The 13163-nt window shown below is 44.2% G+C and overlaps 1 pseudogene, besides 6 other annotated features; it reads right to left on the reverse strand.

Annotated features, from left to right (window-relative positions):
* Positions 74-193: an enhancer, noted in NCBI's record as "active region_18159". NCBI's record gives its function as "activates an Ori minimal core promoter by ATAC-STARR-seq in GM12878 lymphoblastoid cells {active_cell/tissue: GM12878}" and the evidence as "EXISTENCE:reporter gene assay evidence [ECO:0000049][PMID:35858748]".
* Positions 204-253: an enhancer, noted in NCBI's record as "active region_18160". NCBI's record gives its function as "activates an Ori minimal core promoter by ATAC-STARR-seq in GM12878 lymphoblastoid cells {active_cell/tissue: GM12878}" and the evidence as "EXISTENCE:reporter gene assay evidence [ECO:0000049][PMID:35858748]".
* Positions 464-683: an enhancer, noted in NCBI's record as "active region_18161". NCBI's record gives its function as "activates an Ori minimal core promoter by ATAC-STARR-seq in GM12878 lymphoblastoid cells {active_cell/tissue: GM12878}" and the evidence as "EXISTENCE:reporter gene assay evidence [ECO:0000049][PMID:35858748]".
* Positions 2446-2645: an enhancer, noted in NCBI's record as "active region_18162". NCBI's record gives its function as "activates an Ori minimal core promoter by ATAC-STARR-seq in GM12878 lymphoblastoid cells {active_cell/tissue: GM12878}" and the evidence as "EXISTENCE:reporter gene assay evidence [ECO:0000049][PMID:35858748]".
* Positions 2936-3035: a silencer, noted in NCBI's record as "silent region_13063". NCBI's record gives its function as "represses an Ori minimal core promoter by ATAC-STARR-seq in GM12878 lymphoblastoid cells {active_cell/tissue: GM12878}" and the evidence as "EXISTENCE:reporter gene assay evidence [ECO:0000049][PMID:35858748]".
* On the reverse strand, positions 7047-8236 carry HMGB1P1 (high mobility group box 1 pseudogene 1; annotated as a pseudogene).
* Positions 12046-12246: a silencer, noted in NCBI's record as "peak4284 fragment used in MPRA reporter construct". NCBI's record gives its function as "represses an SCP1 promoter by STARR-seq MPRAs in K562 erythroleukemia cells {active_cell/tissue: K562}" and the evidence as "EXISTENCE:reporter gene assay evidence [ECO:0000049][PMID:32103011]".

Genomic DNA, 13163 nt, shown 5'->3' on the forward strand with positions numbered 1-13163 from the left:
AAAAAAAGCCAGGTGCAGAATCCTGTGTGTGTTTTGGGTCTACGGTAGCAAATGCAAAGCAACCCCTGCACCGTGCACGTGTGTCTGAGTCAGCACAGCCAGCAGCGGGGCGTGGAAGGAGCCCCCCGCAAGTGGGGGAGGAAGGGGCTGTGGAGGTGATTACCTCACTCTCATGCAGGGCTGAATATTACTGTTTCCCCTGTTAAACAAGGGTGTATTACTTCCGAAATCTGACAACCCCAAGCACCAAAAGGTTTAAAAATATCTCGAGATTGTAAAGCCTCCGACAGAATGCTGAAACAGGATTGCACAGTTGACCAGGAGCTTCTGAGGTTGTGGCGGACCCTCCATGTTTCTGACTGCCGGACAGTCACAGCCCCCTCTTCCCTAATGCCACCAGATGTTCCCTGGGACACCTGCCCCCAGCTCTAGTCCACATAATGCTGCCCTCCACCTCCAGACCCAGGGGAGGGGAGTGGTCAGGGCCGGCCAAGCCAAGCACCGTATGGCCCCTGGTTCAGGACATCGCTGGGACCCAGAGGCCAGAGACCTTCAGCTGGGATCCCCAAGGATCCCTTGGGACCCCTGGGACTGTTGTCCACCTCTGTGCCACCAGGAGAGGAGAGCCCCACTAAGACTGGAGTGACACCGGAAGGTGCAACCAAGAGCAGGCAGGGAGAACACGGAGTGCAGGCGCTGCCTGAGCCCCTGCCCTGGGCTGTGTCGGGGGAGCTACTGTGGAACTTTCTGTCTATGCAGGCTCAGCAGGCCACAGTGTGCACCACCCGGCTCCTGCCAGTGAACCTACAAACGCTGATGGCTAGATTATTTGCATATGTGTTGTTAAATATGGCCAATATTAAAATTAAATGATACAAACATGTAATTAAAGGAATTACATTAAAAACAGAGATAATAGCTCCTCAGGACACCTCACTCCCTAATTAGCATACTGCACTTCACCATTCCCCAGGCTCTTGGGGTGCCACCTCGGCTGCATTTGGGGGAAGGAAATGCTTTAGGTCTGGACGTGCATTCCTGTGCGTCCTCTGGATAGCAGGAAATCTGCCAGCATGGAAATGGCAAATGCTACAAACAGGGGTCCCCCCAAAGCCATTGCTTCCCAGCATGCCTCTGAGAGAAGCCCTGTAACACAGGCCAGGGGGCACCTGCTCTGCAGGACCCCAAGCAACAGGAAGGAAACAGGAAGGAGAAGGGGAGGAGAGGGGGAGGAGAGGGGGAGGAGAGGGGGAGGAGAGGGGGAGGAGAGGGGGAGGAGAGGGGGAGGAGAGGGCAAGGAGAGGTCTTCGGCATCCTTATGGTGAAAACCACATTTTCTCCTCCCCATTTCCCTGGTAGCTGGGAAGCGCATTCAATTAACGTGTATTGATTGGCTTGAGGAAATCGGGCTCCCAGAAGTCTAGGGCCTTGCTTAAGGTCACCTAGCGGTGGGGCAGGAACTGGGACACAGTTTTAATTTGACTCCGGAGCCCTGGACTGGCCTTGTAATTGGTACTTCTTGTGCAGTGCTCACGGACACCTCAGCTGAATGAAGGCCGTGCAGGTGGCTGGACAGAAACGCCCTGTAGCCCGCATCCCTCACGTTCAAGGCTTCTGTTTTTTCAGCACTCATTTCTAAGTGGCTTGCAGCCTTGCAAGATGAATTGTGGAAGTGCATGGGCACAGTACTTAAAAACATAGAGTCCCGAGCTGAGGCAGGTCTGCCCTTTCCAGTTATTTTCCAATCCTTGTGATTACAAAGAGGTTTCTTATTTAGGGGTGAGCCTGACTTTCACACTCGGGCAGGCTCCACTGGCAGCCAGCCTCCTGTGTCCCAGCCTCCAACAGAAGTTAAAGACACGAGGAGGGTTCAATGCATTCACTTTGGGGGATCCCTCCTGCTTATTAAGAAAATGATTTTCCATTTTTGGTAACAGTAGAGTTTTCTTTTAAAATTATTTAAGTAAATTTGGGGAGCAAATGCTACAGATAGTTATGGAAGGCATCCTGAGCTGATGGGCAGTTGCTGGATTTGATGGGAAACCAGGATCCAATTCAATTTCCCAGAGAACCCGAGGCCTGGCGCGGGCAGGGAGGGTCAAGGAAGGGAGGAGCCCAGGGTCCGGCCCTCGGCCCCAATCAGGGAATGCAGCTGCCTCAGAAAATGCTGGCTTTCATATGTCAGGGACAAAAGGGACCCTTTTTTCTCCCCTTTTTTTAGTTAGAAGGAAACCTTTGAGCCATTTATAAAGACAGGCTCGCTGACTTATGGGAAAGTGGGCTTCTCTACTGTCATTTACTAACTGGTATGCTTTAGCTCTGTGTCCCCACCTGAATCTCATCTTGAATTATACTCCCATAATTCCCACGTGTTGTGGGAGGGACATGGTGGGAGATCATTTGAATCATGGGGGCAGTTTCCCCCATACTGTTCTCATGGTAGCGAATAAGTCTCATGAGATCTGACGGTTTGATCGGGGGTTTCCGCTTTTGCATCTTCCTTATGTTCTCTTGCCGCCGCCAAGTAAGAAGTGTCTTTCACCTCGCGCCATGATTGTGAGGCCTCCCCAGCCATGTGGAACTGTAAGTCCAATTAAACCACTTTTACTTTCCAGTCTCGGGTATGTGTTTATCAGCAGTGTGAAAACCGACTAATACGCTAACTGTCATGTGTCTGGACGTGCGAAAAATCCCTAAATGGGTGAGAATCATGTGTTTCTGCTACAGTCTGTTTCAGCAATGCAAGTCTTGGGATGGATTAGATCAACCTTAAGTAATAAGAACAAACCCAGTCTTCAGAAAACTTTTGGGGGTTCCAATAGCATTTACCATGGGGCCTGGTGAAACATGAGCTTTGTTTCATCCGGCTGCTGCTTTGCGGGAGGATGGAGCAGAGCAGGAGGGGGCATGGCTCCAGACAGGTCGGGAACATTCTCAGAGTTGGGCCCCTGGATGACCCTGTCCTGGTCAATGCAAATACAGAGCCCCACCCTGGCAAGAGGGGAGAGGCACTGCCGTGATTTCAGTTTGTCTTCTGTCATGTTCTGGTGACCTCTCAACAGTGCTGTGGTCCTTGGGGCATGTGCACTGGGAGTGGGGGGCTTTTCGCTCACCTCTGAGGAGATCCTTTCTCCCTCCAGTGTCGATTCATTCTCACTTAATTAAACTTCAAGTTTTAAAAATGAGAACTGTCCAACCCAAGTGTCATCAATAGATAAACAGATAAACAAAATGTGATCCCCCTCATGCAAAGGAAAATTATTCACCCTTAAAAAGGTAAAAAAATTCTGACACAGGCTACAGCATGGATGAACCTCAGTGAATTATGCTCAGTGAAATAACCCAGGCACATAGAGTAGTGAAATTCATAAGGGATGGGAAGGAGAATGGAGGTCTCCAGGGGCTGGGTGGAGGGGGATACGGAGTTAATGTTTAATGGGGGCAGAGTTTCAGTTCGGCAAGATGAAAAGAGTTCTGGAGATGGGAGTACAACAAGGGGAATGTGCCTAACACCCCTGAACTGTACGTATCATGGCTAAGATGGCCAATTTTCTTTTTTTTTTTTTTTAAGATGGAGTCTTGCTCTGTCGCCCAGGCTGGAGTGCAGTGACGTGATCTCGGCTCACTGCAAGCTTCGCCTCCTGGGTTCACACCATTCTCCTGCCTCGGCCTCCTGAGTAGCTAGGACTACAGGCACCTACCACCACGCCTGGCTAATTTTTTTTTTTTTTTTTTTTTTTTTTTTTTTTAGTAGAGACGGGGTTTCACTGTATTAGCCAGGATGGTCTCCATCTCCTGACCTCGTGATCTGCCTGCCTCGGCCTCCCAAAGTGCTGGGATTACAGGCTTGAGCCACCGCGCCCGGTAAGACGGCCAATTTTATGTGTATCTTCCTACCACTTACAAAAAGGATACCATCAAGAGCAGTGGAAGTCTGTTTGCCAGCGTGCTGGGTCCTAACAAAAGACCCCACTGACTTCAGTCCTGCCCAGCTTGCTCACTGCAGCCTGCTCTGGGCTCTGATGTTCATCACGGCTTGGAGTTGCTTCCCCAGACAGAGTACAGCGTAGCTGAAAGTCCACTGTTAGCGGGTTATCGGAGGAGAGCACTTACCAGCGGCTCACCTCTGCTGACTGCTGTGCCAGGCTGTGTGAAGCACTGTACTCCCATACTCACCACAGCCACAGAGGACAGCCCGTGGTCACTCCTGGGGAAAAGCAGACAGCCGAGGCTCTGATGGGCCATAAAAAATAATCCAAAAAGTGGCAAGGAAAAAGAGAAAACAATACAACTACAGAAATGATAACATTACATGTAAGTGGTCCAAATATACCAATTGAAACACAAAGATGGTTGGACTGGATGAAAAAGAAACTGTATAAATAATAAACACCTATTTTAAATATGAAGATATGTCATTTAAATAAAATAGAAATAAGTAAATATAAGTATGTAGAGAGTAAAGAGAAAATAACTAGAGTAAAGAAATAGAAATTTTAAAACATGTCCTTAATCTGATAAAGAGTACCTACAAGGGTACTTGATATGATTTTGATTTTCTTCAATTTATTGAGACTTGTTTTGTGGCCTATCATATGGTCTGTCCTGGAGAATGTTCCATGTGCTGGTGAAGAGAGTATGTATTCTGCAGTTGTTGGGTAGAGTGTCCTGTAAATAGCTGTTAAGTCCATTTGTTCTGGGGTATAGTTTAAGTCCATTGTTTCTTTGCTGACTTTCTTTCTTGACGACATGTCTAGTGCTGTCAGTGGAGTACTGAAGTCCCCCACTACTATTTTGTGTTGCCATCGAACTCATTTCTTAGGTCTAGTAGTAATTGTTTTATGAATTTGGGAGCTCCAGTGTTAGATGCATATATATTTAGAATTGTGATATTTTCCTGTTGGACTCATCCTTTTACCATTATCTAATGTCCCTCTTTGTCTTTTGTTTCCCCACTGTTGTTGTTTTTAAGTCTGTTTTGTCTGACGTAAGAATAGCTATTCCTGCTTACTTTTGGCTTCCATTTGCATGGAATATCTTTTTCCACCCCTCTACCTTAAGTTCTATGTGTTAGGTGAGTCTCTTGAAGACAGCAGATACTTGGTTGGTAGATTTTTAGCCAGTCTGCCATTCTGTATCTTTTAAGTGGAGTATTTAGGCCATTTACATTCAAGAAGAGCCTGCATAGCCAAAGCAATACTAAGCAAAAAGAACAACTCTGGAGGCACATATTACATAGTCTTCAAACTATACTACAAGGCCATCCTTATCAAAACAGCATGATTCTGGTATAAAAACAGGTATGTAGACCAATGTAATATAACAGAGAATAAAGAAATAAAGTCCAGTACTTAAAGCCAACTGACCTTTGACAAATCAAACAAAAACATAAAGTGGGGAAAGGACACCCTATTCAACAAATGGTGCCAGGATAATTGGCAAGCCACATGTAGAAGAATGAAACTGGACCCTCATCTCCCACCTTATACAAAAATCAACTCAAGATGGATCAAAGACTTAAATCTAAGGCCTGAAACCGTAACAATTCTAGAAGATAATATTGGAAAAACTCTTCTAGACATTGGGTTGGGCAAAGAGTTCATAACCAAGAACCCAAAAGCAAATGCAACAAAAACAAAAATAAATAGATGGGATTTAATTAAACCAAGAAGTTTCTGCACAGAAAAATAAATAATCAGCAGAGTAAACAGGCAACCCACATAGTGGGAGAAAATATTTGTAAATTATACATGTGACAAACGACTAATATTCAGAATCTACAAGGAACTCAAACAAATCAGCAAGAAAAAAACAAATGATCCCATCAAAAAGTGGGTAAAGAACATGAATAGACAATTCTCAAAAAAATATATAAATGGCCAACAAACATGACAAATGCTCAACGTTGCTAATTATCAGAGAAATACAAATTGAAACCACAATGAGATGCCACCTTACTCCTGCAAGAATGGCCATCATTAAAAAATAAAAAAAATAGATGTTGGTGTAGATGTGGTAAAAAGGGAACACTTTACTGCTGGTGGGAATGTAAACTAGTATAACTAGTATAACTAGTACAGAGAATCCTTAAAGAACTAAAAGTAGAACTACCATTTGATCTAGCAATCCCAGTACTAGGTATCTACCCAGAGGAAAAGAAGTCATTATATGAAAAAGACAGTTGCACATGCATGTTTACAGCAGCACAATTTGCAACTGCAAAAATATAGAACTGGCCTAAATGCCCATCAACCAATGAGTGAATAAACAAAATGGGGTACATATATACCATGGAATACTACTCAGCCATTAAAAGGAATGAAATAATGGCATTCATAGCAACATGGATGGAGTTGGAGACCATTATTCTAAGTGAAGTAACTCAGGAATGGAAAACCAAATATCGTTATGTTCTCACTTATAAGTGGGAACTAAGCTATGAGGACACAAAGGCATAAGAATGATACAATGGTCTTTGGGGACTCGGTCGGGAGGAAGGGTGAAAGAGGGGTGAGGGATAAAGGACTCCATATTGGGTACAGTGTATGCTGCTCAGGTGATGGGTGCACCAAAATCTCAGAAATCACCACCAAAGAACTCATCCATGAAACCAAAAATCACCTGTTCCCCAAAAACTCTTGAAATAAAATGTAAAAAAGAGTACCTACAAAAACTTACAGCTAGCATCATACTTAATGGCAAAAAACTCAATGATCTTCCACTAAACTGGAAACAAGGCAAAGATGTCCGCTCACCGCACTCCCGTTCAACATCATGTCCGAGGTCCTAGCAAGTGCCATATGGCAAGAAAATTAAAACAGACACATACAGTTTGGAAACGGGAAAATAAAACAGTCTCTATTTGCAGATGGCATGATTATCTATACAGAAAACCCCAAGGAATCTACAAATAAACAATTTCAACTCACACGTGAGTTTAGCCAGGCTGCAGGTTACAAGGTCAATGAACAAAAATTAACTATACTAGCACCAAAGAATTGGAAATTGAAATTGCAAAAACAGTACGATTTATTTTTTTATTTTTTTAATAAAAAAATTGTATTTACTTAGAAGCATTCAGAATGTCAACAAAACAGCTGCAACTTTTTTTTTTTGCAATTACAGAGTGGTATTCAGTTAACAGAACAATTATTTCGTATAAGCTGCATCAGAGACAACTGAAGATGAAAAAACTACCATCCCCATATATAACTAATTTGTGCTGCGCACCAACAAGAACCTGCTTTAAATTTCCATGCCAATTTACAACCCCCATACTCTACCAGGCAAGGTTAGTGACTATTGAAAATACCACCAGGACAGGGCCATCTAAAGACACATTTGGTAGTGTATTAACCATACAAAAAACGACACTGTACAGTTTAAAAACAAATCTTACACAGCCTTACATTTCAATTTTTTTCTTTAAAAGGAGTGAGTTGTGTACAGGGGCGTTAAATGCTTTAAGACAAGAAAAAAAACTGCGCTAGAGCCAACTTATTCATCATCATCATCTTCTTCATCTTCTTCATCTTCCTCCTCCTCATCCTCTTCATCTTCCTCATCTTCCTCCTCTTCCTTCTTTTTCTTGCTTTTTTCAGCTTTGACAACTCCCTTTTTTGCTGCCTCAGGCTTTCCTTTAGCTTGATATGCAGCAATATCCTTTTCGTATTTTTCCTTCAGCTTCGCAGCCTTCTTTTCACCAGGCTGCTTGTCATCTGCAGCAGTGTTATTCCACATCTCTCCCAGTTTCTTCGCAACATCACCAATGGACAGGCCAGGATGTTCTCCTTTGATTTTTGGGTGATACTCAGAGCAGAACAGGAAGAAGGCCGAAGGAGGCCTCTTGGGTGCATTGGGATCCTTGAACTTCTTTTTTGTCTCCCCTTTGGGAGGGATATAGGTTTTCATTTGTCTTTCATAATGGGTCTTGTCCGCCTTTGCCATATCCTCAAATTTTCCTTTCTCTTTAGCAGACATGGTCTTCCACCTCTCTGAGCACTTGTTAGAAAACTCTGAGAAGTTGACTGAAGCATCTGAGTGCTTCTTCTTATGCTCCTCCCGACAAGTTTGCACAAAAAATGCATATGATGACATTTTGCCTCTCGGCTTCTTAGGATCTCCTTTGCCCATGTTTAGTTATTTTTCTTCAGCGAGGCACAGAGTCGCCCAGTGCCCGTACGGCTCTCACTTGCCCCGGCGCTGTCTCTATGGAGCTCAATGTACTGCAGTGGCTAACAGTACGATTTATAATAGCACTCTCCCCAAAGGAAAATCCATGACAAACTTTGATACAGATCCAACATCTGTGCAAGATGTCTACGATAGATACAAAACAATGATGAAAGAAATCAAAGAAGGCCTAAATGATTGGAGGGATACACTCTTCTGTTCACGGATTGGGAGACTCAGTATTGTTAAAGTGTAAAATTCTTTCCAAATTGATCTATACATTCATTCCCCCAAAGATCTCAGCAACATTTTCTTTTTGCATAAATTCACAAGTGGATTTGAAAATTTAGATGGAAAGGCAAAGGATTCAGAATCACCAAAAACAACTTTAGAAAAGAAGAACAAAGCTGGAGGACTTGCATTATCTGAGTTTGAGGCTGACTATACGCTGTCAAGACAGCCTGGTTCTGATGAAGGACTAGCTTGGGAAAGAATGGAGCTACAACACCCACACATGTGGCCAATACTTTTTTTTTTTTTTTTGAGACGAAGTCTCACTGTAGCCCAGGCTGGAGTGCAGTGGTGTGATCTTGGCTCACGACAACCTCCGCCTCCATGGCTCAAGCCATTCTTGTGCCTCAGCCTCTGAGGAGCAGGGACTACAGGTGTGCGCCACCACATCCAGATAATATTTTGTATTTTAGTAGAGATGAGGTTTCACCATGTTGCCCAGCGTGGTCTCAAACTCCTGAGCTCAGGCGATCTGTCCTCCTCGGCTTCCCAAAGTGCTGGGATTACAGGCGTGAGCCACCGTGCCTGTCAATACATTTTAATACAGCTGCGAAGAGAAGTCAAGGGACAAGGGATAGTTTTTAAAATAGATGGTGCTAAAACAATACATCAACCATGTGTGGAAAAGCGAACCTTGATCCACACCTTGGGTCATAAGCGCTATTTGGCTCAAAAGGAATCACAGACTTAAATGTAAAACATAACATTATAAAACTTCCAGAAGTAAACCTGGGAAAAGACCTTCGCGACCTTGAGTTATGCAAAAGATTTCTTAGATAATGACATCAAAAGAATGATTCATTGGTTGGGCGTGGTGGCTCACGCCTGTAATCCCAGCACTTTGGGAGGCCAAGGTGGGTGGATCACAAGGTCAGGAGATTGAGACCATCCTGGCTAACATGGTGAAACCCTGTCTCTACTAAAAATACAAAAAATTAGCCGGGTGCGGTGGCGGGCGCCTGTAGTCCCAGCTACTCGGGAGGCTGAGGTAGGAGAATGGCGTGAACCTGGGAAGCGGAGCTTGCAGTGAGCTGAGATCATGCCACTGCACTCCAGCCTGGGCGACAGAGCGAGACTCTGTCTCAAAAAAAAAAAAAAAAAAAAAAAAAAAGGAATGATTCATCAAAGAAAACCGGCAGATAAATTAGACTTCATCAAAATTGAAAAAAAAATTTGCTGTTTGAAAGACACCATTACATGAATGAAAAGACAAGACACAGACTGGAAGAAAATATTTACAAAACATATGTCTGATAAAGAACTTGTGTCCAGAATACATAAATAACTCTCAAACAACCCAGAGTACAAAATGTCAAAAGCTATGAACAGGCACCTCACAGAAACCATCTGCAGATGGCAAATAAGCATGTGAAAAGATTTTCCAAATCATTGGCTATTAGTGAAATGCAAATTAAAACTGCAGTGAGATTTCACTACATGAGTAGTAGAAAGGCTAAAATTAAAAACAAAAACAAGGCCGGGTGCAGTGGCTCACGCCTGTAATCCCAGTACTTTGGGAGGCTGAGGTGGGCGGATCACGAGGTCAGGAGATCGAGACCATCCTGGCTAACATGGTGAAACCCTGTCTCTACTAAAAATACAAAAAAAAAAAAAATTAGCCGGGCGTGGTGGCGGGCTCCTGTGGTCCCAGCTGCTCGGGAGGCTGAGGCAGGACAATGGCGTGAACCTGGGAGGCAGAGTTTGCAGTGAGCCGAAATCACAGCCACTGCACTCCAGCCTGGGAGACAGAGCCTGACTCCGTCTCAAAATAAATAAATAAATAAACAGAAAAATAAATAAATAAAATAAAAATAAAAACGAAAACAAAAGTGTGACTGGGCGTGGTGGCTCACGCCTGTAATCCCAGCACTTTGGGAGGCCGAGGCGGGTAGATTACTTGAGATCAGGAGTTCAGGACCAGCCTGGCCAACATGGTGAAACCCCGTCTCTACTAAAAATACAAAAATTGGCTGGGCGTGGTGGCACACACCTGTAGTCCCAGCTACTCGGGAGGCTGAGGCAGGAGAATTGCTTGAACCCAGGAGGCAGAGGTTGCAGCCAGCAGAGATCATGCCACTGCACTCCAGCCTGGGTGACAGAATGAGACGCTGTCTAAAAAAAGAAAAAAAAAAAAAAGCCTGACAATGCCAAGTGGTGGCGAATATTTCTGATGGGGCTGTGGGCATGCTTGGACCTTGCTGGTGGGAGTGCAGAGTGGTGCATTCACGTCAGAAGACGGTTTGGCAATTTCGTATAAACATACATCTACCTAGTGACTTAGAAATCTCACCCCTAGGTATTTGCCCAAGGGAAAGAAAAATGTCTGTTTACACAAAACCTGTATGCAAATGTTTATAATGGCTTAATTCATAAACCTCTCAAATTGGAAAGAAAGCCAACGTCCTTGAACTGGTGAATGATAAAGCAATTGTGGAGCGATCAGACAATGGAATATCACTCAACAATCAAAAGAAAGGAACAGTGAGCCACCAAAGAGCAGGAAGAATCTTGAAGTCATTTGTTCAATGAAAAAAGCCACATGCAAATATATAGTGTAGGATTCCAGGTATGTGACATTCTGGAAAAGATAAAACTATATAGGACAATTGAAGCAAAATCCGGTGCTGGGGGCTGGGAGTAGGGGTAGTGCTTGACTACAAAGGAGTATTACAGAACCAAACTGGGGTCTGTTTGCCATAGTTAAACTGGACATTTACACCAAGGTTTCCAGTGATAGGAAGAAAGGTTTTTATTGTAGGGTGTCAAGTATGGAGAACTAGGCAGCTGAATGTTTAAATTCTGACCTCCCCGATGACTTGCAGGTAAGGATTTTTAAAGGTGGGTGGAAAGTAACAGTTACAGGCAAAATTATAAATTAATATAGAAGGTTCTATTGTTGGTTGGTTTAGACTTAAAAGGGCCAGCATGTCTTCAAGTGTAGGCTTACAGGTTGTAGACAGATTCAAAGGTTTTCTGATTTGCAATTGGTTAAGGAAGAGAAGCTTTGTTTAACGATCTGGGGTCAGTAGAAAAATGTTCACTGGCTAGGGGGAGTGACCGCTTAGAACAAAGGATGATGAATAAAGATTAGTTTTTACTTTTCTTAAATTTGAGGTTTATGTGTCTGGATCTGTCTGACGGGAGATCTTAGAGGGGTTCTGAGGTTTTGAACGACTCAGTAACATACGTTAAGGTGTGTCTTTGGGTTTTACAGGGAAAGTAAACATTTTGGGGACTTTAACTTTTTTAGTTATTGTCTTAGCTTATTATTTTGTTTTAGTAAGTTCTTTACTTTTGGGGCTAGCTAGGTGTCTGGATTTCTTTCTGAAGGAACTCAGGGCTTTTTATGTGTGGGGTCCACAGGCCCCTAAAAAGGGGATCCCTGTTCTAATTTTGGGAGCACAGTGGGATGCCTGGGGTGATGGAGGTGCCCCATGTCTTGGTTGAAGCGGTGATTACGTGACCATTCATTTGTCAAAACTCATAGATACTTAAAAGGGGGAATTTTACTGTATGTAAGTTATATCTCAGAAAAGTTTTTTAAAGACTTAAAAATATGTAAAACAATGCATTGTTGGAAAGTTGCACTAAGAAGAGTTCTGCTTTGCACTTCACTGAGCTCAAAAGCTGCGTGAGGAAACTCACTTCTGTTTGCCCAAGTGGAGGCCTCGCCTTCTCACGACTGATTTCTCATTCTTTATGGAATTAAAAAAACATATCTATCAGGAACTATCTACCTGTCTGCATCCATCCATCCAAACGTCTGAAGTCATCCTACTCATGGCAATACATGGTAAGGCTAATTTTTAAAAAGCACCAGTTGCTCTTATTTGGAAATGGGTCCGTATCACCAAAGGTGGAATATTACCCAGATATAAGACCAAACAAGCTCCAAACAAACTCTCAGAGTCAGACAGATGAGTTGATGAATCCTGCCCACACTCCACGTGACCGCGTCTGCCTCCAGGTGGAAGAGGAAACCGTGTAGTCAGGCCCCAAGTCTTCTTGCTGCCTCCCTCCCGTCCCCCGGGCCTTGCCTGGCCACTGCAAACCTGGGGTCTCGTTGGCTCCCCTCCCATGTCACCTGGGCATGCAATTGTGCTGGTCACTCCGTGGAGGAGGCCTGGCAAATTCCACAGCATGGGTCATGTGTCACTTCCAGAGGCTCTGGAACAAAGACTGGGTGACAGGCCAGCAGAGAGATGCTGAATTGCTCTTTTGGGTTGAACCACCCAGAATAAAATGCTAAGGGCCTGGCTACTGAGAGAATCTCCGGTTTTTTGAACATCTGTGAAAGCAGGAGGTTAAGTCTGCAGTGCCTGAGGCTGCTTGCACCACTGCGCTCCCGCCTGAGTGACACAGCAAGACCCTATCTCAAACAAAAAAACTCTTTAATTGTGCCACAGTGGATGAAAGCTGGCTGCAGAGTTCATATAGAAAGGCTGCTAATAGCTCCTCTCAGCCTCCTGAGTAGCTAGGACCACAGTCACTTGTCACTGCACCCAGCTGATTTTTTAAATTTTTATTTTCTGTAGCAATGGGGTGTCCCTATGTTGCCCATGTTGGTCTTGAGCTCCTGGGCTCAAGCTATCCTCCTGCCTCTGCTCCCAAAGTGCTGGGTGCCTGGTCTCCATTAAGATTTTTTATTTTTTTGAGACAGGGTCTCATTCCGCTGCCCAGGCTGAAGTGCAGTGAGGTCA

This window comes from Homo sapiens, chromosome 20 (genome assembly GCF_000001405.40).
Source record: "Homo sapiens chromosome 20, GRCh38.p14 Primary Assembly".
In the NCBI taxonomy this organism is placed as follows: domain Eukaryota; kingdom Metazoa; phylum Chordata; class Mammalia; order Primates; family Hominidae; genus Homo; species Homo sapiens.